We start from the raw sequence: 25,344 nt of genomic DNA on the forward strand, positions 1-25,344 counted from the left end.
CTATCACTGGTGAGTTTTCCTCCCTTCCTCCTCTATAAGGATATATGTCATAACAGAGATCAGCTTCTAGGTAATTTCTCTTTCTCTATGCAGAAGTTATGAATATTGCCAACTGCATACATGAAGTTGGTAGGAAGAGGGCAGAAGATTCCACTTGCCACTCTTTGTTTGTTGGAAAACAAACAGCACAGAGAACTGCCTTATCTCCTCAAGCAGCAAACAAACTTGGTTTCCTTTAATGGTATCCTTATTTTCAGAGATAGCAGCTCAGCTGAGCTAGACCATATTCCTCGATCACTTATCGAACCCTTCTCCCCCAGCAATGCTTTTACCTCTCATCTATCACCTCCTCCAACTTTCTTCTTGGTCATGCATTTTTTTCATTCTGCATCTCTCCTTATGTTCTCTCCCTTGTCTCTGAGTAAGGGGTCTATTCCTACTTTCCATGCCGAAGTCTTGTCCTTGTGCTACTGATTCAGGCCCTTTATCCCTCTCTAGGAACTTGCTTCACTGGGGTAAGCCCATTCTCTCCAACATATGCAGCTTCCCTGAATTGCTGATTGAAGGGTTCTAGCTGGCAACTCCAATGAGCCATGCCTGAGGCACCACTAGCTCACCTTGCCATCTCAACAATCAACATATACTCACTCATCTCTTTTACTCAGCATCTTAATTTACCTTCCAATGGCATTTGACATTCTCCTCCTTCACATGCTCTCTTTCCCTGGCTTCTGGAGCATCACCTTCTCCTCCTTTTTCCTGGGGCAGCCTCTTTGCTTATTTTACTGGCTCCTCATTCTCTGTATGCCCCTTAAGTCAGTATTTCATATCAGCTAGGAATGCATTCAGTAACAGAAAGTCCAACCTCAATGACTTAAACAAAGAGGAGGAAGAAGATGTCTGAAGGTGAGCAGAGGCTGGCATTGCTTTGCAGCTCAGTGATGCCGTCTTGGACTCCTTAGTGGGCTGGCTTCTATTCTTATGCTGTCTACCTCTTGACTGTAAAATGGCTGCCACCTTAAATCTCATGTCCTCACAGCAGCATCCAAAGCAGGAAGGAAGTACAGGTGCAAAAACCATATCTTTCTGTGATTTTCCCAGAAGCCCCAGCAGAATTTCTCTTGTGTCTTGTTGGATAGAACTGTGTTACAGGCCAATCTGCTCACCTCCACATGTAAGAGAGGCTAGAAAGTGGGTGTCTAGCAAATGGAAATGGGATTGCCATGATAAGAATCAATCAAGATGCATTCGCTGAGGCTGGGAGAAGGGCTCATCTTTTTAGAAATCAAAGTGCCACTATGTGTAATGGGTTGAATTTTGTTCCCCCAAAAGGTATGTCCACATCTTAACCCTCTACCAGTGGGGTAGGTATAAATGTGATCTTAAAACGAGATAGGATCTTTGTAGATGTAACTAAGTTACGGATCTCAAGATGAATTATCCTGAATTTAGGCACACTCTAAATCTAATGACTGATTTTTTTTTTTTTTTTTTTTTAGATGGCATCTTGCTCTGTCGCCCAAGCTGGAGTACAGTGTCATGATCTCAGCTCACTGCAACCTCCGCCTCCCTGGCTCACGCCATTCTCCTGCCTCAGCCTCCCGAGTAGCTGGGACTACAGGCACCCACCACCATGCCCGGCTAATTTTTTTGTATTTTTAGTAGAGACGGGGTTTCACCACGTTAGCCAGGATGGTCTTGATCTCCTGACCTCGTGATCTGCCCACCTTGGTCTCCCAAAGTGCTGGGATTACAGGCATGAGCCACCACGCCCGGCTGACTGATGTTTTTATAAGGAAAAAGAAAAGGATGTTTGAGACACAAATAGACACAGAGAAGAGACATCAGGTTGGAGACCATGTGAAGATGGCGGCAGAGATTGGAGCGACACAGCAGTAAGCCAAGGATTGCCAAGAGGCCCCTGAAGCCAGGAGGTGCAAGGAAGGACCTTCACCCACAGCCTTTGGAAGGAGTGTAGCCCAGCCAATGCCTTGATTTTGGACTTAAGACCTCTAGAACTGTGAGAATAAATTCCTGTTATTTTAAGCCTCCAACTTTGTGCTATAGCAGACTGGGAAACTAACAGACCATTCTACTCACTGAACCAAGCATTGGAGTTCTGTGAGCAGGGAAGACAGAATAGATGAGGAATGGTTGGTGGACAACTAGTGAATGGTTGCATGTCAGAGGCACCCCCCTGCTACTCTGCTCTTGATATTTTGTTTCATAACAAACTTTCCCTGGTTGACCTCATCCACTTCCATGACCTCAGCTTTCACCTTCAAGCCAGAGACTGCCAAATCCCTGCCTCTACCTCTCCCTTCTCACATGAGCTCCAGACCCACCTTTCATTTATGAGTGACTCCAGCAAACTATCGGACGGTCTCATGGGCATCCCAAACTCACAAAGTCTTGAACCAATCTAACTTCCTTCCTGAAACCAATTCTTTTGTTTCACCCACCCCATTGCCTACACACATATCTGTGCCTCAAGCTCCACCTTATAATATAGAATTTTTACATAAGTTGGCTTCATATCTGGTCTTGAAACTGTATTTGCCAAAAAATGAAACTTTTAGAGAAGAGGTGTGTGTCATAAAACTTTATAAAACATTTTGTTGGTATCCCTGGAAGGCCCTTCTTGCCTGATATTCACTGGGCCACAGAATCCTTCAGAATTCTGCTATCTGAATCTCTCGTGGGCTGCTCCTTCTTCCCCACCTGCACTGACTGGGGTGAGGCTGAGACACGAGGGTACAATGCATGACTCACTGAAAGGTCAGCCATGGGATACCAAGAGGCCATCATGACAATATCATACACACAGTGTTTTAGCAACTATCAAAACTTGGGGTGTTAAATAACTTTAGTGACTCAAATTTGAAACAAAAATGCCTCACTTCTTTTAAGAAGTCCATTTAATTAAAAAGTTTCATAAATAATTGTGCTGGGGTTTTCTAAGAAAAAAAAAAAAGGATCTTAAGCATATTAGGTGAGTTGCTGAAACCCCAAACAACTTGTTACCATTTGCAACTACTTATTAGTGTGAACCAGGATTTTTCTCTCCTGTACAGACTCCAAGTCTCAAAGTCTGTATACACTTCTCACATGGCTTCATCACCCTGTCATTACCTGTACAGGTGTTGCTTCTGCCTATTAATCTCACTCCCTTGAGGTAAAGGCCATGCAATGTATTCATGCTTATCCTTTGGTTATTCATTCAGGGATTACAGAATACTGACGGAGCACTTACTATGATGAACTAATGGCAACAAGATGTAGAAGCTTACAGCTTTATAGAAGGATGAACACATTGTAGCAAACATAATACTGTGCTAAATATGATTAACCAAGTGTGGGAAATGGGGCCCTTCCAGTGATGATTAGGGGAATAGAAATGGGGATAGATGAGATCTAACCTTTCCTTGGGAATGAGGGAAGACTCTGAGGGAGGGATCTAAGGCAGACTTGAGGACAAGAAAGAGTTAGCCAGGGATAAGCCATTTATGATTTCTCTTTACATTCACTAGCATCTATTACATGCCTGGTATATAGTAGAGGATCACAAATGCTTACTATTCAGATGGATGGGTGGGTGGGGGAGTGAAAAGATAGATGGATGGATGGATAAGTTGATAAATGAATGGGTGAGAGAATAGATGGGAGAATGGGTGAATGGATGGATAGATAGATAGATAGATAGATAGATAGATAGATAGATAGATAGATAGACAGATAGATAATTGGGTATCTAAATAAATCGGCAGGCAGAAGGATGGGTGAAGAAATGAATGGATGGGAGAATGGATGAATGAAAGGATGGGCGGATATATGGATGATGAATCAATTACTAGTCTTGACAGTTTTCAGTGGAGGATATTGCTATTTGAAAAATGATTTTCTGGTTGTTATATTATACAAGTCTCAATTACTCCAGGTATTGAGTATTATTCTTGTTAATTTGGACAATGTTTTAATAAAGAAAAGAAAGAAAGGTACTGTTCATTTCATAAGCATATTTTGAATCCTGAGTTCTGGATTCATTGCTAAGATACTCAAGGGGCTTGCCTATGGGCAGAATTATTAAAGTGAAAAGTGACAAATGCCATGGGTACAAGTAGTCATGGAAGAAGGGAAGCTGGAGTCTCTGACTCTCCCAGCCAGATCAGTTCACCTGATGTGGGCTCTCTAGGTACACCTAGGTAACTCTTTCTCCTTCAGAAGTCTTTTCACAGTTGTGTGCTATTATTTTGGTTAGCATCTATCTTTCCTTGTGGATTTTAAGCTCCATGAGGAAAGGAACTGTGTCTGGTTTTGCTCACTATTTAATTTCCAGGACTTATCACAGTGTCTGAGAGATGATAAGGTTTCAACAAATAAACAATGATTGGTTGATAGAATGAATAAAATAAATGAACAGTTTCCCAGAGCAGATAAGCTGTGTTCTTGAAGGATCAAGAGATCCATTGTTCAGGTTGACAGGGCTGGAAAGGACTTCCCTGGCAGAAGGAGAGGCAGGAGCAAATATTCAGAGAGAAAAGTCCATACTTAACTCAGGGACATTCAAGCCACTCCTTCTGTCTGGGCCACAAGGACAGAAGAAGCGGGTGATGCAGGGGGACAGGCAGGCAGGGTCCAGTGGCCAAGGGCCATTCCTGGGAAGCTGCATGAGGTCCTTTTGAAAACATGGCATGTGTGAGGGGTTTTAGGCAGGAGAATGAAAGCCATTTCAGCCTTTCCCCCAGGTCCTTCTGGGTACAAAGTGAAAGAAAAATGGAGAAGGGTATCAGATTGTCACAGAGCCCCCCATCACAGTAGGGGAGGTCATCCCCTCTTGTGAGAGCTTGGAGAAAAAGCCCTGGACCTCTCCAGGCTTCAGCTGTCCCAGCTGCACGTTGAGAGATTGGACTCATCACCTCTGAGGTCCTGCAGCATTAAGCATGCTCGATCTAAAAATGAAAGCCGGCTCTGTTTGGCGATCCCACTAACATCCCCCTGAAGCACCACCCTTGTGGATAATGGTTCTTTTAAAGCCACTCAGTGCTGTATTGACAGAAATTAAATTAGCCATCAGTGCGGGCAATCAGTGGCTATGGGGCTGTTAGAGGTAATAAAGGCGATGCTCTCAAACCATAGTCAATTAAGCTGTGACACAGCCCTGAGAGGGGACAGCTGCTTTGGATTGGAAGGGTGGCTATGAGACCTGCCTCCCACACTGAAGGCACAGGCTCAAACCTCGCCTGGAGGCTGTTGTTTCTAATTGGGACAGGCACCGCAGGGCTGATGTGACTCTGGGGACACTGCCCTTTGGAGGAAAGCTAAAGGCCAAGTGACTTTAGGGGTTTTGAAATGGACTCCAGAGCCTGGGGGAATAGCAGGGGCCAGACAAGTCTCATAGACTTCCTCCAATCAAGCAGCCAAGGTCAGCAGGGAAAGCCCTGGCATGGCATCAGGGAGCCTGCTTTGAAACTGCTGCAGTGCCCCCAGTTTGCTAGCACCTTCAGAAATGGTGGTCACCTCTCTGACCCTCAGGCTCCTTGTCTCCCTGATGAGCATAAAGAAAACTGGGTCACCAGCACGTTTTAATGATTTTGAGATAACTTAAGATGGGTGCCCAGCTCAGTGGGGGCTCAATGAATGTTACTTTCCTTCCCATAATGAGGGCCAGAGCCAGGCATGGACTCCAGCCCTCTGAGAATAGGCCCAGCGCTGCTTCTATCCCATCATGCCAGTTCTAGGTCAGAGGCCTGGCCTTCTTTCTTTTCAGTTTTAGGGATGACACACACTCTCTCCATGTCAAGGGAGGCAGTGGTGGGAAGGGGAGATGCAAGAGCTGAGGCAACTGAAGTCTCAACTCTCTTGTGCCTAGGTATGTGACAGGACACACAAAAGGACTCCTGCGACCCTCAGTTTTCTCCTTTATTAAAGGGTTTGTGATTCTTCCTATCCATGAGGATGGAATGTTTTTCCATTTGTTTGTGCCCTCTCTTATTTCCTTGGGCAGTGGTTTGTAGTTATCCTTGAAGAGGTCCTTCACATCCCTTGTTAGCTGTATTCCTAAGTATTTTATTCTCTTTGTAGTAATGGTGAATGGGAGTCCATTCATGATTTGACTCTCTGCTTGTCTATTGTTGGTGTAAAGGAAAGCTTGTGATTTTTGCACATTGATTTTGTATCCTGAATCAATATCGTAAAAATGGCCATATTGTCCAAAGTAACTTAAAGATTCAATGCTATTCCCATCAAACTACCATTGACATTCTTCACAGAATCAGAAAAAAACATTTTAAATTTCATAAGGAGTCAAAGAAGTCCCCATATAGCCAAGGCAATCCTAATTTGGGCAAAATATCATTGTTATTATTATTATTATTGAAGACAGTGCCTTACTCAGTCATCCAGGATGGAGTGTAGTGGTGTGGTCACAGCTCACTGCAGTCTCAAATTCTTGGGCTGAAGCAATTCTTCTGCCTTAGCCTCCTGAGTAGCTAGGACTACAGACATGAGCCACTGCACTCAGATAATTTTTTAAATATATTTTGAAGAGACAGAATCTTGCTATGTTGCCAAGTCTGGTCTAGAACTCTTGGGCTTAAGTGATCCTCCTGCCTTGGCCTCCCAAAATACTGGGTTACAGGTATGAACCACTGTGCCCCACCAACAAGATATTATTAATGCCTCTCTTCCACCACTAGAAGATAATAGCCAAGATAATAATAATGATAATAATATTAATATGAATAGTGATTACTATGGGCCAGGCACTATTCTAAATTCTTTAGATGTGTTAGCTTCTTTAATTCTTGCAATAGAGAGTTACTATTATTATGCACACTTTACAGTACAGGAAATTTGCTGAAAATTGCACGAATAGTAAGTAGCAGAGTAAGGCAGAGTCTGTGCTCTGAATCATCACAGTTTTCTATCTCATTGAAGACCTCACATCATGCACCTGCACACTCATGCACACACATATGCCTGCCTCCGGGATGCCTCCTGGATGCCCTGGGTGTGGTTCACCCTTGCTTTCTGGTTGCTTCCACCTCCTTCAGAAGCACAAGGCACAAAGGCGGCATGGCAGGAGTTACAATCATCGGGCTTGGGTCTTGACTCAGCCATAGCGCACGTGTGTGATCTTGGGCAAGTTATTTATCATCTCTGAGTCTTGGTTTCACCATGTGAAAAAATGAGGTTGCTAACAGTTGTTGTGAGCATTATATAAAATTAAATGCAAAGGCTGCACAGGGCACAGTGTCTAGTGCATAGGAAACCCTCTGTAGATGGTAGTAATTGTCAGGATGCTGTCGGTGTTGTTGCAATTTCCACACAGTACACCATTGAAGCTTCATTCAAATATTTGCCCTCAGGACCTAGGATAAGACCTAGCCTTTAGCAGCCACTTAATTAAAGGTTTGCTGGATGGAATTTAATATGCCTTGGTGAACTCAAGGAATCTTTTAACGCCTCATTCAAGGCATATGACCATTCTTTTCAAAAGACAAGCTTGGGTTGGTAGTTTCCTTTATAAATGAATGTTAACAACAGTTGAAAATATGTGTTCAATATATTTTTTGTGCTGCCAGTCTTAGTCATCTTTTAATTAAAAGTACTTTTTATTGAATGTTAAACTGTCAAGATTGTCTTTGTGTGAGGAGTGGGGAGGTTGCTATGGAGAGGATCATGTTGCTATGTGACTCTTGTGTCAGAACCGGAATCAAAATGGTAATGGTCATGTCAATTCTGATATATAAAAAAAGGATCCTCAACAGCTTCATTAAAGAGGGGAACTTTTATTTCTTCCTTTCTTGTCATTGTGCCAAGCATAACAGAAGGGGAAATATTGAATTTTGTAAAGAGGCAGACAATGGGGCCAGCTGCATGCACTGTCAATGGCGAGAAAGTTCACACCAGTTTGCTGGAAGAGTCATGGATGGTCCCTTTTCTCCAGATTGGCTGCTCCGTGGGAGGACTTTTTAATTTTATTTTTTATTTATCTCATTTTTCATTTTTAAACAATTTCTTCTTGTTGGAATGTGAGATCATTTTGGCTTTGAGCCAACATCTCAGATGAGTTAGAGACAATGTCCTTCAGACCTCCCTGTTGGACTCAGCCTGCCTAAGCTCAGGCTCAAGGTGTTGTTCATGTCCCGTAGACTCTAAAGAAGTGTAGACTCACCTTAAGTGTTCCTAGCCAGCTCAGCTCTGGACGGCACAAGAACCTTGCCTCCAGCATTTGAACTTTTATTTTGAACAGGCAGATGGACAGATGTGATCACAGCTATGTTCCAGGGCCCTTTGCTCTGCCAAGAACCTGGGCATCCCTCTTACTTTCCAGTCAGTGCATCTTTGCTGACACTCTTCCCTTCCCCAGAAACACCCTTCCTTCTCTGTGTCTCTCGCTTATTCTTTTTTTTTTTTCTTCATCAAAATCCAGCTTTAGCTTTTAATTATTCTTTGAAGCCAAGCATAATGGTCAAGTGCATAGGCTCTCGAGGCAGAAACATGATCGAGTTTGCACCGCCATGGACTAGCTGAGGGATGTGGGTAAATTCAGCAACCTGTCTGTGCCGGGATGTCCTAAGTTCCTATGAAAGAAGGTGGGGTTGTAATCTTTTTTTTCTCATTTCCTGGTCCAGCAGGCCTCAGCTCATGCGCTGTAGATCTCTGAGTGCTGTCAGTTTTTGTTACTACAGTTTCTCAGGTGTGGGTTTTTACTAGCAAGAGAACCAGAGACTAGGTCAACAGGTCAACTGGTGTCATGTATGGGAAGATAGTTTTTGGTCTGAAAACTGGCCTTCAATGGGACCACATCTGAAAGAGCCTTCTCTCTTTTGAAGAGTATTTTGTTTTACGTTTACTTCTCAGAACACCAGCATCTCCTGGTTCAAATCACTGGAAACACTATTTTTTTCCAATGGTTTATAATCATGTTTCTGTACTGACTGGCTGAATGGTTAGCTAATCAAGTACAATTTTACTAAGCTCTTACTGTATATTGAGCACACATGTAGACCTTGTAGGCTACAAAATGAACGTAAAAATGGGTTCTACATATTTTGGAACTTAAGCCCAGCAGGGCAGATATTATGGATTGAATTGTGTGCTCCTCAAAAATGTTTTAGTCCTGACCCCTGGTAACGGAGAATATAAATTATTTGGAAATAGTCTTTGCAGATGATCAGGTTAAGATAACATCATCAGGGACCTAATTGAATATGACTTGTGTCCTTATAAAAAGACACACAGACACATGCATATTGCAAGAAGTCACATGCAGATGAAGGCAGAGCTCTGGGTGATGCGTCTACAGGCCAAGAAACACCCAAAATTGCCAGTGACCACCAGAAGCTGGGAGAGAGGCCTGGCGCAGATCCTCCCCCACAGCCTCAGAAGGAGCCAATGCTGTAGACACCTGGATCTCAGACTTCTAGCCTCCGGGACCGTGGGAAAAAAAACTCCGTATTGTTTCAGCCACTCAGTTTGTTATACCAGCCCTAAGAGACGGAGCCAGGAGATAAGACTGTTAGCACAGCAAATCCTGATGTAAGGTGGCAAGTTGATTCCACCTCATGGAATCAAGTGTTCTGAGAGGAGGTGAGGCAACAGATGGCCCCCAGGGAGGCTTCCTAGAGGAGGTGACAACATACTGGGCTTCGAAAGTTGGATAGGATTTGTGGAGTCCAAATAAGATAAGTAAGCAACAATGAGGAAAGGGCCCTAAGTTGGGGAGGGCCCCAAGGTGGGGAGGGCCCTAGGTCATGGAGAACAAGGAAGAATTGTGAGAAATGGCTAATCAAAAACAAAGATCTCCTTCTGCAGGCACAATGACCTTGTTCCACAGGCAGCCCCCTCCAGCATGATCCTATAAAACTTCCCTCCAGCCCTTGCCTCTTTGCAGACAGCCCCTTCTCTGCTGGGCTGCCTGTTGCAACCTTGCAACATATTTTCATACTTTCTCTAATAAATCTGCCTTTCTTTACCTATGACTGTCTTAGTAAATTCCTTTACTGCCCAGGAAACTGGCCCTATTACACCTGCAACAGTATTGAGATCTGTAGAGATGATGGATGGGGTTGAGTAGGATGGGGAAAAAACTTGAGAAAAATGGTAGCACTAAGGATGTCTGTGACTAGGCCTTTTAGTATTTTTTTTTTTAGATGAAATTGCCTTCTTCCAAATTTATTTGTCAAATTAAGTGCTGGTGCCTCATCATAAAAGAAACTGCCCCTTTTCACCCTTGAGATTCCCTGATGTAAATGAGGACTGCCTTCCTGTGGGAGGTTTTGATTTGGAAAGGGATGCTGTTGCAACAAAAAGGTGATGGCATGTGCAGACATCTCAGGGCCAAATCCATGGACTTGTCAGTTCCTCTAGAAATTCTACTTTGGTAAGAATTATTGGAGATTTGAGCTGACAGGGGACAATCTTCTGCAACTAAATGTTTCCGTGGCTTGTTCTCACCAGGGACAACATCCACTGCCCCGCACTTCAGGATAGAAGCTTCTGAAGAGATCTCCAAATGCCAGCTTGTTTGAATTATTAAATGTTAAAATCATTGCATGTGTGTTGGGGGTGGGTTGGGGTTAAAGGATTCTCCGTATAATTCTAAAAAACAAAGAGCCAATATTGGTTCATTCATTGTGATAAATGTACCACGCTAATTTTATAATGTTACAGATGGGATATGGGGTATCCAGGAACTTTCCTCACTATCTGTGCAATTTTTCTATAAATCTACATCTTTTCTAAAATACAAATTTCATTTTAAAAAGCCAAAGGGTGCACAGATTATCACCTCATCCCCACTTCCCACCCACACCTACCCTTCAGCCAAGCCCTAGTGCCCTCCAGCCTTCCATCGTGTGAGGTCTGGTTTATCTGGGTAATTCTGCCATGTGCTTGAAGGCCGTGCTGTTGGTGTCAGTTACCTGCATGCTTACCTGTGCAGGCTGTGAGTGTGTGAGTGGCATGTCTCTATATTATGCTGGTTACGTTCATTGTGCCTATTTGGTTGCAATCACTTCTGTGTTCCAGGCCATTGTGTGGTTACGCACAGGGAGACAAATGTTCTCATGTGTAGAAATGCATGCCAGCGTGCTGGGGTGCTTTCGGGGTTGTGTGTGGTGCTGTATACTAGGGGTGCAAGCTTAGTCTTGTGTGTGCTTATGCATGAAATGTGTGTGTTCCCTGTGTCTGTGTGCAGGGTGAGTGGGAGTGGAGAGGGTGTGCAGAATGTTGCCAATGTGCATGTTTGGATGTGTCTGTGGGCTCTGTGGGCTTGGTGTGTGTGTGTGTTTGTGTTAGAAAGATGTTAGTCCATTCCTAGGCTTAGCTTATGTCCTTCAGAGCATCACACTCCCATTTTCCAAATGGTTCCAAGCTTCTTCTAAACTGAAAATTACAATTTCATCTTTCCCCTCTTGCTCACCCTTTTGGCTTCTGCATTCCCTTTTCCCCTCTCCTGTCCATGACATCATCCAAACCCTCAATGAAAAAAAGAGGAAATTTTAAAAAATGCCTTCCCTGGCAACCGAAATACCTTTAAGTGTAGCGTAATTACCACCACTCTGCCCCCTTCCCTCCCCCGCTGGGACAATTCCACCAACCCTACAACATACACTTAAATCTTCAACTTCTCAGAGACACTACACGCAGATGGGAAAGACTTGATTAAAATTACAGTGCTTTAGGTTCAACTTCACCTATTAAGAAAAAAAAAATCAGATCGGGTGCTGGACTTTTTTTCCCCTTCCCAGAGAAATAACTAGGCCACGGTAATTACTCAGGGCCCCGCTGCGTGCCCTCAATGGCTCCCTGGCGATATTTTCCTGCTACCTGTCTTTGTAGAGATGTTGACATCAACATGAATGATAACGGTGCCAGCACGAGGTGCTCCTCTCCCTTCCTTTCTCTCTTCCTCTCCCTCTTTTTTCCTTTCTCTTTCTCTCTTTCTCCTTCTCTCTTTTTTGCCTTCTTTTCTTTCCTTTTTCTTTCTTTCTTTCTTCTTTCATAGGTTCATTTTTTCTAAGTCTTCCAAAAGGAAAGGAGAGTTGGAAAGAAAAGCAGGTGCATTCTCCGTCCCCATGGTGATTGGAGTCTTCGTGTGCCTGTGGAGGAAGCTCTCCTGCCTTGCCGTCGCTTTCTTGTGCCTCTGAGGCTGCTCCCTGAAGCGGGGTGCAGGCCAGCCTGGGGCTGAAATGTCCCCTCCCCCAGCCTCAGGGCTACAGTGCCCTCCTCCTCCAGGAAGTCTTCGTGCAGGCCCCTCACTCCCGGAACTCCCTCGGAGCTTTCAGGATCCCTGTGTGCCTGTGGGATAGCACTCCGGGCTGTTATTCAGTTATTTCTGAGCATGTCTTCTCTCTGGCCTGATAGCTCTCCCAGGGCAGACATTCCTACCGTTCATTTCCGAATCCCCCTGTTGTCTGCACACAGTGGGGCCAAATTCTACACTTAGGTTCAGGAAGCACAGTGTCCAGGGCCTACAGTATTTTTTGGGAACCACAAACATGTTTCAGTTTTTTAAAAATAAAAAGGAAAAATCATATTATAATACTAATGAATAATATAAAAACTAGTAATATAATACAAATACTGTCCTAACATATATTTTTCAGTATTTTTTTCTGATGGAGGAAGGGGCTCAGGGAAGCAAAAGTGTCTAAGGCCCAGAAATATCCCGTCAGCGTTTGCGGACCAGCTGTGCGCACACCGTCTCTCAGAATTGGTCTTCCAGAGCAGGCTTTGCTGCCTAATCAGGACCCTCCACACAGGCTGCAGAAGGTTTCTCCGCACCCAATCAGAACCCTCCACACAGGCTTCAGACGCTTTCTCCACACAGGACCAACCCACCAGAACTGACAGCAGATTAGACCTAGTTCACATCTTTTGGTCTGTGAAGATTCATTTCTTTCATTATTTCAGACTCAGCTGATCAGCTTTGGTTTGATGTTGCATTTGAAAGACAAGAAGAAGCTGGGACAATTCCGGGTCTGGGGTCAGGAAATGTGTGTCCCAGGCCTGGGGCTGCGGCTGGCCTGCCTGTGAGCCTGGGGGCGGCACTTTGTCTCTCTGGGCGTCAGTTTCCTCATCTGTGGAATGGGCACCATTGCCTCATGTTTCACTCCATGTTACTCTGTGGGTTGGGCTAGAGGAGCATAAGAGGCCCTCACTTAGCACCAGCAATGGCTTCTTCATGATTTGTCAAAATGCAAGCTGTGGGGACAACTCACAGTGGAATCAGGAGAAAAGTTCAGCGAACAGAACCTGAGAGAAATGTGACCACCCCGTCTTGGTTCCTGCCTCTCCTGGCTGACGTACCACTGGCCTCCTTGGCTGGACCAAGGAGGACCAGACAGCCCGGTGGCCCCTGACTCCCAAGAAAGCTGGCTTGGTGAACACTAGCCTCCCTATTTACAGGGTGCAGGCCAGGATTCCACATGACGAAGAGAAAGATGATCATAGCACACGGGAACACCAGCTGCGCTATCCTCCTTGTGGGCCTCTGACTGGCTGTGCGGCCGTGGAGAAGTTGCTTGTCTTCTCTGATTCTCAGCCTCTTTATTCACTGACTTGTTCAACAGATGAATACTGAGCACTGGACTGGGCCTCCAGGGAGGTGGCACTAAGTCAGTTCTCCAGCAAGCAGAGCTCGGTGGGTGGCTGGGGTCATATTCAGCTCTGAACTCCACGGTTCAGTGCGTGCCTCTAACCCCAGGAAGCTCTGATTTTCTCCAGACCGGCCAAGGTTGGTTTTCCTCTCCTCTCATTGCCTGGAGCGCTCTCTCTGCTTTCTCAGCATGAATTTCAAATGTCAAGCTCCTGAAGTTGCATTATGTACACCACTTGCATTTGGGTTAGAAAATGAGCCCAATTAACACAGTGGTGTTTAGCTGGGAGAAGGGAGGCTGATTTGCTGATTGTTGGCAGCTCCAGGCTGGTGAAGGGCACTCGGATGAGAGAGAGCCAAAGAGCCTCTCTTCTTCTGAGCAGGACCAGGTGGAATGGCCCGGACGTCTCAGGAGGTTAAGGCAGCCTCACCCAACAGCAATTACTTGATGAAAACCTTCTCAGGGGTCTGGAGAACAAAATTTGAAAAATCATGATTTGGGCAGGGCGTGGTGGCTCATGCTTGTAATCCCAGCACTTTGGGAGGCCGAGGTGGGCGGATCACCTGAGGTCGGGAGTTCGAGGCCAGCCTGACCAACATGGAGAAACACTATCTCTACTAAAAATACAAAATTACCCGGGCATGGTGGTGCATGCCTGTAATCCCAGCTACTTGGGAGGCTGAGGCAGGAGAATCGCTTGGACCTAGGAGGCGGAGGTTGCGGTGAGCCAAGATCTTGCCATTGCACTCCAGCCTGGGCAACAAGAATGAAACTCCGTATCAAAAAAAAAAAAAAAAAAAAAAGAAAGAAAGAGAGAAAAGAAAAGAAAAGAAAAGAAAAATCATGATTTATCTCCAGTTTCCACCCGTTTTTCTTGCTTTCCAATGAGGTCTGATTAATGACCCATCTTTATCCAGCAGGCAAAGAGATAAAAATCGATGATGAGTGGAAGGCAAATGATGTTAATTGAACATTATCTCAGATCCTCCTAGCCATTTTCTGGGTTAGGTGGACATTATGATCCTTATTTTAGAGAAAAAGAAATGGAAACAGAGAGGTTAAGTGACTCACCCATGGTCACACAGCCCTGAAATGGCTGAGCTTAACTTCAAACCCAGGAAGGTCTAGAATGTTTGCCTTCTATAAGAAGGGGTGCTGGTTATCAAAATTAAATTATCCTCCGCCATGATGGTCTTTATCAATTGAGCCCTTTATATCTAAATTTCATGGGGTTGGGCTGATAGGCGCTGTCTATACACAGTGCTCCTTGGCAACAAGAATGACCTATTTTGTTTTCTACTTTCCAGAGATCCACATTGATAAATGACAATTTCCTCTTTTTTTTCCTTGCTTTTGTATTGTGTGTGTGTGTGTGTGTGTGTGTGTGTTTGTGTGTGTGTGTGTGTGGACCGCAACAGTACTAATGACAACTCTGAAAAATATAGCAACAAGAAACTCCATTCTTAACATCCAAGCCAGCCCCTTCAACACAATTATTTTCACTTTCACATCGTTTTTCTAATATTTCACTTAATTGTGATTGTATCACACTGTTTCTTTTGAATTTGACTTTCTATTACTTAAATTTTTATCATTAACTTTTCCTTATGTTTTTGCATGCTCTTGATTTATTTTTAGGAGCTGGGTAATACTTCATTTGGAGATAATTATGCATTATTAATCAGTTTCCTCAGTGTTGGAGTTTAAGCTTACTTTAACTTGCATTTCTTTCATTATTACAATGAAAAGGTATTTTTTCCTGCTTATTTATTATTTGTATTTGTATTTTCTTTTTTTTGGAAGTCTGTCCTTCACTCTTACCCAGTCATTTATTGGAATCATTTATTTATAACCAGTTATACCCAGTTATTTATTTATACAGTTTATTTATTATATACAGGGAAATAATAGTCTTTTCTGTTGTGATTTCTTCTGGCACGTCAAAGCTCAGAATGTTTGCAATCCTCCAGAATTCTGAAAGTTTAATCTTTAGCCAATATTTAGTTTAAAATAATTTTTTTAAGAGATGGGACTTTGCTCTGTCATCCAGGCTGGAGTGCAGTGACACGATCATAGCTCACTGCAACCTGAAACTCCTGGGCTCAAGTGATCCTCCCACTTTGACCTCCCAAACCACTGGGATTACAAGTGTGAGTCACTGTGCCTGGTCTAAATTTTTTGTATATTTAAATCTATCTATCAGAATCTATTCTGTATTATAGAATACAATTTGAATCTAAATAGATGTTTCTCTGAAATCACTAAGCAATTATTTAAAATGATTTTACTAAATAAGCACTCCATTTTTACTTTCTCACTTCTGATTCACTCAATAAATATTTGTCAGTTGTTAATATATGCCAGACACCTGCTTGTTCCTAGCAATATACTGAGACAAGACAGAATCTTTGCACCTTCACCAGTTATCTGGGCTTTTCACATTGTCCCAGTGACTGGGATGTCAAGTCTTTCTGTTCTTACCACACCATTTCAGTAAGTGTCATTTTAGAATATGTTTTAACATGTGGCAAGGCAAGATGTGGTTTCAAATACTACTTAGGAAAAGTATAACTGTCTTTTTATGGATAAATCTCATCATCTTTGCATCTGACTTCTAGTAACACTGCTGTGTGACCATTTTCCATGGGGTTCCCCAGTCATTATCATTTCAATAAGCACTATTTCTCTGGAGCATGATGCTATTACCAGGTATGAGAATCACAGATTCTTGGAGTTAAGAGACCTCAAGGAACACCTGCCATGGGGCTTTCATGTGCACCTTTTCTGCACGTGCTTCCCCAGATCAAAAAGGATCTACCACTGGTGCAAAAACTTGTGGCTGGGAATGACCAATCTAGTCTAATGCTTCAGCCAGTTTTGTTTCCTTTTTCCAATGACCTTGCCAAGCAGCTGCCCATTCTGTGCTTGGACACTTAAGAATGAGGTACCCATTTCTTGTTTTTGTTGCCTTCCCAGTTAAAGCTCTGAGAAGATGGAAAGCTTGCTTTGTGTCTCTGAAAAAGAAGAAGGTTCAGAGTGGGAGAATGAACTTGGCTCTATAGCTTTGAACTCTGAGCCCTTGGGCATCCAAGGGCTGTCAAGCAAATAAAAATGTCCATTTGAGTCATTAAAGACCCCTTTTTCCCCTGAGAAAGGAAGAGCTATCATTAAACCGCCAAGAAGCAATATTTATCAGAGATGTTTGACCCTCCATCCATCTGGCTGAGTTTCCTTGACTTAGTCATGAGATGTAAGCTCCATACTGGGGAGCTAAGAATCGCCATTCCAAGAGACTTCCTGCAAACCAGAACCAAAACGCATCTTGTTTCTTGATTTTTCTTTCTTTGTTTTAAAAATCCTGGTGGGTGTTTTTATTTCCCCTTTTTATTCAAGTTTGCTATATGTTTTGACCTTTTATTTTGGACAAAACAAGTGACCGCAGAGAACAAAATTGGAATGGACTATTTTTTTCTTCAAAAATAATAATTAAGAGAGAGCAAGATAAAGAAATGAAAAAAAAATCCTTCTGGATTTGGTTCCAGCTTTGGTAAAGTTTCAGGCCTGTGCTTATTTTAGCCAAACCATTTGTCCCATCCCTATTTATACAACAGGATGCGGAACAAGTTGTTCTTGCCTCATGTCCTGCTGCCTGTCAAAAAGAAATCTGTCTTGGAGGAAAAGCCAATTAACTCAAACATCTTTCATTTGGATGTGTTTCACTCTTGCCTTGAGTCTAATCAGCTCAGAGCTATAGGGCCTGGGCAGGTGCAGGGCAGAGCCCAGCAGGACTGCATGGAGGGGAAAAGCTTAGAGGTGGATCTGGAATTGAGGTCCTTTCTCTTACCAACCCTGCAAACTTAGTTAATTTGCCTGTCTCTGCTTTCTCCTCTGATTTGTAGAAATCATAGCAGTCATAATAGCCACTACTCAGTACTGCAGAATTATATTAAAATAGTAATAACAATAACAACAACAATAATCTGCCGGGCACTGTGCTAAGTGATCTCTATGTATTATCTAATTTAATCTTCATTACAACTGGAGAGAGAGTATTATTATTATCCCAAGTTTATAAATTAAAGGTCAAGCTGCTCAACTTGGCTCTGTCTTCCAGGTCTCCATGACACCTTGACATTCACAGAGTTATAATATGGAGACTTCGTGACCCATCAAGAATACTCACATATGACAAGTCAATTGAGTCCCAGAAGGTCAAGCGATGTCCCTCAGGCACCAACATCAATACCCACTTGCAAGTGTCTTGAGTTGACTTCTCTATCATTTGGGATGATGCTAATCGCCCTAACAAACCACAACCTTTTAGTGGCCAGCACAATAGAAGTTTATTTTGTGCTCACACATGAGATTGGTGTGGGTGTTTGTGTCTGGCCTGCCTCCACTTGGTGATTCAGGGATTCAGGCTCCTTCCACCTGGTGACCCTGCTCTCCTCTGCCCAGTTGGTGGGTAGGAGGAGACCCTGGAGAAGGTGCACCAGCTTCTTAACCACTACTTACATGTCACTGGAAGCAACTGGTCACATGGACACACCTAGATGGGAAGGAGCCTGGGCAACAGAGTCCCTGTCTGGGCAGTGGCTTCTCGATGACAGCTCTCCACATTGGAAAAAAGAGCTCACATTTTGGAAAACATGCCTCTGCCACGACACCTCATCCAATTCTATTCTGCTGTATCACAGACAGTTGAGGCAGGAAGATTCAGCATCTGGTCCTTCTTCCTAGTAAAGTTAAAGCGCCACAGGTTGCACATTAATTGACTTGGAGATTTGGAACAAACTCTGTACAGACTTCACTGCAGGCACCATGGAAGGTTTCAGGGCACTCTCTGACAAGCAAGATTCACTCCTGCTCTCCACAAATGATCTTTAGCCTGTGTCCTGGAAGCCCCGACCTGTGTCTCTCCTTTGTGTCACATTTTATGTTACCCGGTTTTCGCTTTTTAGAATTTTACATGAGGATAATAATGAAGTGCATGCTTCCCACATCTGCTTCACCTCTGCGCGCCTTGGGCCCAAATATTTCAAGGCTGGGATCATTACTTTGGATAGGAGAAGTGTAACTTGGATGAATACGACAAATACAAAACTCACTATAATTTGCAGAGAGAGGGAAAGGGGAGGGAAAAAAATAAGCATTAACTTTGGGAACAGGCCAGATGCGGTGGCTCACACCTGTAATCCCAGCACTTTGGGAGGCTGAGGCGGGCAGATCACCTGAGGTCAGGAGTTCGAGACAAGCCTGGCCAACATGGTGAAACCCGATCTCTACTAAAAATACAAAAATTAGCTGGGTGCCCTGGTGCGTGCCTGTAGTCCCAGCTACTCAGGAGTCTGAGGCAGAAGAATTGCTTAAACCCAGGAGGTGGAGGTTGTAGTGAGCTGAGATCACACCACTGCACTCCAGCCTGAGTGAAAGAGTGAGACTCCATCTCAAACAACAACAACAACAACAAAACCTTGGGAACAAAGACAGACACACATGCATGTCCAGCTGAAGCAAGCTGAGGGGAAAGCATCATTGTGTTAAAAAAAAATAGAGGCATTTTGTATTCCACAGTCAATATGCAGGACTTATAGCCACTCATTGGATCAAAGCACAGACTAGTTTGGGAAAATTCTAAAATCTGTGCCAAAGAGAGAGAGAGAAAGAGAGAGAAAGAGTACTTTTAAGTTACCTACTAATATCTTAGAGTTCCTAAATTTTAGAGCTGGTTGGAAACTCAGAGATTCTCTCAACCATTGGTCTCATGTTACAGTGAGGATACTGAGTCAGAACTTTGCCATCTCTGCTTCTAAAACTCTCTCTTCTAGCCTTTCCCACTAGGCTGCCAGATCTGTCTTTCTAAATTAGTAAATATTAATATCTGACAAAGTTGCTTCCCCATCTGAAATCTTTCCAACTGCCATCACCCACCAGAAAAAAAAGCTGATGATTGTCCACCAACTCAACCCTGTTCCTGTCCCCCGCTGGCTTTTCCTCATGCCGCCCTGCTGAACTGCCTCTGGCTGTCCTCATCCACCCACCACAGTGGCTCACACCCACAGGAAGGTCTCTTTGCTTGGTACTTTCCTTATTTCTACTTTTCCTTTGCCTGCTCCAGCAAACAGAAGACATTCTCTTCTCTGGATTCCTGCAATGCCTCTTGTCTAACCCTAGCCCAGTGCTTACCATAGGGTACCAGAAAATAGCTGTGATGAGTGTGTGTGAGATGGTTTACCCCTCTAAGGCTTTCAGGCTGCCTGATACTCTCTTCACATGATGATCCCCTCACTAGACTGTGGGATCTGGAAGGCAAAGGCTGTGTTTCATTGGTTTATTGTCAATCTATTCCCAGGGTCTGATGTAATGGATGCTCTGTAGTAGGCGGTGCAAAAACCACTTGTGCACCTGTTGACTATGGTCAGGCTAAGGTGACATTCTTGCTAAGCCCCTTGAATTTCCTTTGCATGGATATCTGCATGGCTGGCTCCCTTACCACTTTGGGGTTTGAAATGCTACCCACCAGAATGGGCTTTCTTGACCTCATAATCCAAGATAACATCCATCACTCTCTATTCCCTTATCCCGTTTTGCTTTCCTTATAGCATTATTATTATTATTATTATTATTATTATTATTATTATTGCCATCTGATTATTGCATTTCCTTGTTTACTTATCACCTATCTTGCCATCATTGGACATAAGTGTCACAGGAGTGGCCCCTGTTTGTTTTCTTCACTGTTAAATCTTTTATGCCTAGAACAGTGCCTGGCACATAGTAAGTGGGTCAAGTGTTTTTGGATGAATCATACAACCAATAGGTGTTTTATTCCATTACCCTTTCCCCTTTCCCAGACAGACCTCATGGTTTTTCTTTAAAAGAGAGAGAGAGAGAGAGAGAGAGAGAGAGAGAGAGAAACTAGACTAAAATCTTTCTCAAAAACACAAAAGTCTTAGAAATAGAAAAACAAGAAACAGTTAAAAATAAACAATTAAACCAAAACCTCCCCAACCTGCAGTGATTCATCAGACTACAGTCAACATGCATCCTTTGAAATCTTACTCAAGACACACGTGCTGCAAAAAGCAACAAGGAAGAAACGGCAGATTTCTCTGTTTTATTTTTATATACCAACTTGCTAGTTAACAGTGGGAGCAATCAATAAACTTTAATAGAATGCTATTACTTTAGGGTTGTAGTAAACTGAAGAATAAAGAATAATAGCTTTTCAACCTTTTATCAGTCCGGGGAGATAATTTAATATGCACAGAAAATGCATTATAATAATTTTTATAACTATGCAGTCCAGACCTCTCTAAAGATTTTCCAGGAACTAAGCAATGTGCAAAGAATCCAACCCGAATATATAGTACAAAAAATGTGGCTACAATAAGTGAGGGAAGCCCATGCTAATTCTATATTTTTTAAAGAAAACCCTGGATGTTTATACTAAAAATGCCACTGGGCTCTAAACTGGCATGAGACACTCATTGCTGTTTTGTTTTGTGTGTTGTGTTTTTTTAACCAGTCTTCCCTTAATGAAGTGGACTGATCATTCCCATTTGGAATCATTCAGACTGTAGACAAATATGCTAAAGCTTTAAGTATATAATTTTTAACCTCTTAGAAAGGTTGAATGATGTGTTATGAAACTATTACTGTGCACAGTTCAAATTCAATGCATCACAAAGGAGCTCCATTAATCCTAATTTAACACGCATCTGCTCACAATTTGGTAGAGGAAATAGGCCAAGAAGTGAAGAAACAGCCCGTGATCATGCACACAAAAAAAGCTTTTCGTCCATGTCCAGGGACCTGGGCAATTGCTTGACTCTCTTAGAACTCTGAACCTGCAGGAATATTGCAGGAACATCTTGTCTTTTGCCTCTTCCTACTGACCTTCCCTGGTCAATTCTCCACTCTGCTGAGTGATTGTTCCATGCTGCAAACCAAATCTACTTTATACCTGTGACCATCTGAGGTCCACAGCAGTAAGTCCAAGGTTAAGTGCCCCAGATAGCAGGCTGGGACTAGCGTGAGGAAAGCAAGCCACTCATCCTGGGTGCAAAATTGAAGACAATACTGAACAACTCGGTCATCAAGGTAAATAATATTTGAATGCTCTTTAAAAAATTCAAAGTTAATGCAAAAAAATCTGTCATGCACAAAAATCCATCGTGCACAAAAGATCAAAATTTTAAATAAATATGGGATCAGAAAAGCTCAGCTATATTGGAGCCCAAGGCAAAGGGAAAAACAAGTGAGACTGAGCCTGTCTTTGTTTAAAATTTTGATCTTTTGTTCACTGTGGATTTTTTGCATTAACTTTGATTTTTTTTAGTGCATTCAAACATTAATCTTGGTTACAGTGTTTTGATGCCCCCTCAAATTCTGCACCCAAGGCAAATGTCTCATCCGCCTCATCATAGTTCTAGACCTGCCAAATGGAATTAGAACCTTCTGCCTCTGCAGTCATATAGTCCTTTGTTCGTTTTGTCCTATGGCACCAGCCGAATTGGATTGCAGGTGCATGTCTCCACCCTTACCCTGGGAGGACAGGACTATTATCTCATTTGCTTGCATCTTCCCACAAGACATCCTCAACAAGTATGAATCATGTTGATTCAAACATGTAGAGTGCAGAGGAGGGATTCAAAGTTTTATCCCAGCCTCATCCCAGCCACTTCTTCTTCTGACCTACTTCCCACTCTCGTTCCCAGCCTCACTGGACTTTTCAGTGTTTCTTGATTTTTCCTAGTGGCAGACTCTTATGTTCTCTTTCTTCTGTTTTCTCACTTTGGAATTCCTTCCCCTTTCTCTCTTGCCATGTATGTGGGTGAAAGCCTGAGGGCTGGTGACAGGTGGCCTGGGGGAGCTCCCCGATTCACTCAGCTTCTGTGTGCCTCAGTTCCCTCACCTGTAAAACGGAGCAAGAACAGTGTCTATCTATGTGGTAGGACTTCTGAGAGTTAAATAAATGAATGTATGTAAAACCTTTAGCACAAAGCTGATGGGCGATAAGTTATAGGAACTAACCAGGTATGATGCAGTAGCTGGGACTAGAACTAGAGGCTGTTTCCACACCTTGGTCTGAAGGGCAAGAGAAGGGAGCACTTTCCCAGACCCAGACAGAGTGCTGTGTGGGGAAGACTGTAGCCGCATATCCAACCCACGGCGTTCTACGGAAGAAGTTCGTTCCCGTCCTTGCCCTGCTTTTGCTCTCACGTCTCTTGCTGTGCCCCCTTAACTAGATCTGGGACCAGGGGCAAGGGTCCTCACACAGGCAATCCGCAGAGGTTAGACTAAGGGGCTCAGTGCTGGGTAAAAAGGGCTGGCCCGTGGATTTGGGGTGGAGGAGGGCAAGAGGAAGAGAGGCAGTCCAGTCGCCTTGCCAGGGAGTCATCAAACATTGTTCCATTAGGTTGATGCAAAAGTAATTGCGAGTTTTGCCATTAAAAGTATTAATAAATGAGACAAAGTAAGTAAGGGGCAATGACTTCGTCTCCTGTATGGCGATCCCAAAAGAACCCGACTTCCTGTGGAGTAGAAACTTCTTTCCATCCCGCCAAGCACTCGCTGGGCCTCTCCACTGGGCAGAGAGGCTGGGGAAAATGTCTGTGGTGCCCTGATTGGTCTGGGGGGACCAATCAGGTCTTGTTTTTCTTGAGAGGAAACTTGTTCCCGGGGGCAGGTTTCCCCAAGCCCTGTCAGCTCTGATGATAAGAGGCTTGTGCGTGCTACTGAATTAGTCTGTGCCTGTCCAACCACCTTTAGCGCACATTAATCACACCCTTTTACTCAAAACAGTACAACTCTGATCTAAACCAATTAAGCCTGTGTTGTTTAGACAAAGAGATTAATATAGCTCCAAAAAGCATAACCTTTGGCCATAGAGGTGTCTTAAGATAATGAGTTTGATTCAGTAAGTTGGCTTTGGGGAAAGGTATATTTTAGAAGAAGATATCTATTTGTAGATTCTAAATCAGCAGGAAAAGAAATGCACCCAGACAAACAAGTCCTAGTTGTACATATGCAGGTATAAAGGAGGTTAAGGGAGTGCGATTTAGAGCTGATGGTTTGGAAATGCAGATCTTTTCTCCCTTGGAAAATCCAGCTGACTCTGACAAAGGAACAAAATACAAAATAAAATCAAGCAAAGGCAATTACAGCTATCGCACAAGTCTAAACTAGATGTTTTATGAAAAGTGTTGCTCAAGGTATAATCCTTTCTGCTCTTAGGGGAATCGAGGAGTGACTTCATGGAGGATATCTAGGAAGAGAGAAGCCACGGCAGTGTGGTGTAATGCAAGGAGCACTGGATAGGAGTACTTTCTGCTAGGTGGTGTTTTTGTTTAATGCTTGAGTGCTCCTATGGGCTACCCATTATGCTGGGTGCTGAGGATGGACTGATGAGTGGATTGTGGTCCCTGCTTTCAAGCAGCTGGCTGTCTCCTGGAGGACAGGAACTCATCAAAAAAATGTCACTGCCTTAGTGAGGCTATGGGCAAGCTGAGCACAGGTGCCTGGGAGCTGAAGGTCAAGACACTAAGTCCACCCCGGGGGACTTCAGCCAAAGCTTCTGAGAACGAGTCAGCTCTGAGCTGAGTCTTAAAAGATACAGAGAAGGTCTTGTGGCAGGAAGGTGTAGAAAGGAATTTTAGGCAGAAAGAGAGTGAGCAAAGGTATGAAACAGCAAGCTGTGAGAGAAATGTCTTAGCCACTCCTCTGAACTCCCAGAGCATAAACTTTGAGATTAGGAATGGTTGAGGACCATGGTCCCTAAATTAAGGTGCTTGGAGACTGTTGTTCAAACCATGAAAATAGGAAGGACTGTAAGCACAGGGCATGGTCAGCATTCTTTCTGAAATCACTGTGGTTACCACCAATTGACAGTGAAGGCCTGGTTACTTCACTTATCAAACTTCAGATTTCTCATCTGAAATGGTTGCGTTGGTTACCCGGGTCTGTGAAAGTCCTTTTCAGCCTATACTAATAATGTTTTTTTATTCTGTGTTTTTCATATTTTGCTATCTCGGATACTTACTGACTCTGGAGAGACTGCCCCTCCTAGGGTTAGTTAAGTCCTAGAGATAGCAAGTAAGTTACCCGTGGAGCAGGCTTTTCATGTGCAAACCAACCAATCGGAGCTCACACTCCCAACCACCTCCTTTATTCAGCGCTTACACTCCTGGTCACTGTTCTCCTGCCCTAATCATCTGGGTGGGTACTAAATAACTAAGGGTAGCCTCCATGCCCCACAGCCCACTTTATTCAAACAAGCCACTTCTAAACCTGTCTAGCCTACCCTGCCATTCTTCCAGAGAACACCACAGTAAAGATTCTTGCCTGTGTTCTCTCCCACCCCTCCTTCCGCCTCCTGACCAGCCCCTGGCTTCCTCTTGGGCCCCCCAACCATGGTGTGGTACCTCCCTTCCTCTTGCGGTCTGTGAGTATAGCAAGCTACCTTTCAACAACAATCATCTCCTGATCTGCTGACCGCGTATATAAATAAGAATAAAACCTGTATGTTCAAACACAGCAGTATTCCTGAATCACAAACGGGGCCCCAGGCTAGGCAAGTGGGGCTGAAATACACCCTTTGGCCAAAACCTGGACTGTGTGTGTCAGCCCAGGAGTGTGTGTTTTTTCAGTTTGCACAAAGGTGCCCTGCAGGCTCGCGTGGCCCCGGGGCAAGTTGTTTCACCTCTTTGAATCTCGGTGTTCTCATTTGCAAAAT

The 25,344-nt window shown here is 43.7% G+C and overlaps 5 annotated features.

The window, feature by feature from the left end:
* Positions 11,683–12,218: an enhancer, noted in NCBI's record as "H3K4me1 hESC enhancer chr14:97832410-97832945 (GRCh37/hg19 assembly coordinates)". NCBI's record gives its function as "activates a minimal SCP1, AML or CMV promoter by ChIP-STARR-seq in primed H9 embryonic stem cells {active_cell/tissue: H9 hESC(primed)}" and the evidence as "EXISTENCE:reporter gene assay evidence [ECO:0000049][PMID:30033119]".
* Positions 12,219–12,753: an enhancer, noted in NCBI's record as "H3K4me1 hESC enhancer chr14:97832946-97833480 (GRCh37/hg19 assembly coordinates)". NCBI's record gives its function as "activates a minimal SCP1, AML or CMV promoter by ChIP-STARR-seq in primed H9 embryonic stem cells {active_cell/tissue: H9 hESC(primed)}" and the evidence as "EXISTENCE:reporter gene assay evidence [ECO:0000049][PMID:30033119]".
* Positions 24,416–25,045: an enhancer, noted in NCBI's record as "NANOG-H3K4me1 hESC enhancer chr14:97845143-97845772 (GRCh37/hg19 assembly coordinates)". NCBI's record gives its function as "activates a minimal SCP1, AML or CMV promoter by ChIP-STARR-seq in naive H9 embryonic stem cells {active_cell/tissue: H9 hESC(naive)}" and the evidence as "EXISTENCE:reporter gene assay evidence [ECO:0000049][PMID:30033119]".
* Positions 24,878–24,937: an enhancer, noted in NCBI's record as "active region_8997". NCBI's record gives its function as "activates an Ori minimal core promoter by ATAC-STARR-seq in GM12878 lymphoblastoid cells {active_cell/tissue: GM12878}" and the evidence as "EXISTENCE:reporter gene assay evidence [ECO:0000049][PMID:35858748]".
* Positions 25,028–25,077: an enhancer, noted in NCBI's record as "active region_8998". NCBI's record gives its function as "activates an Ori minimal core promoter by ATAC-STARR-seq in GM12878 lymphoblastoid cells {active_cell/tissue: GM12878}" and the evidence as "EXISTENCE:reporter gene assay evidence [ECO:0000049][PMID:35858748]".

The sequence above is a fragment of the Homo sapiens genome, chromosome 14 (genome assembly GCF_000001405.40).
Source record: "Homo sapiens chromosome 14, GRCh38.p14 Primary Assembly".
In the NCBI taxonomy this organism is placed as follows: Eukaryota; Metazoa; Chordata; class Mammalia; order Primates; family Hominidae; genus Homo; species Homo sapiens.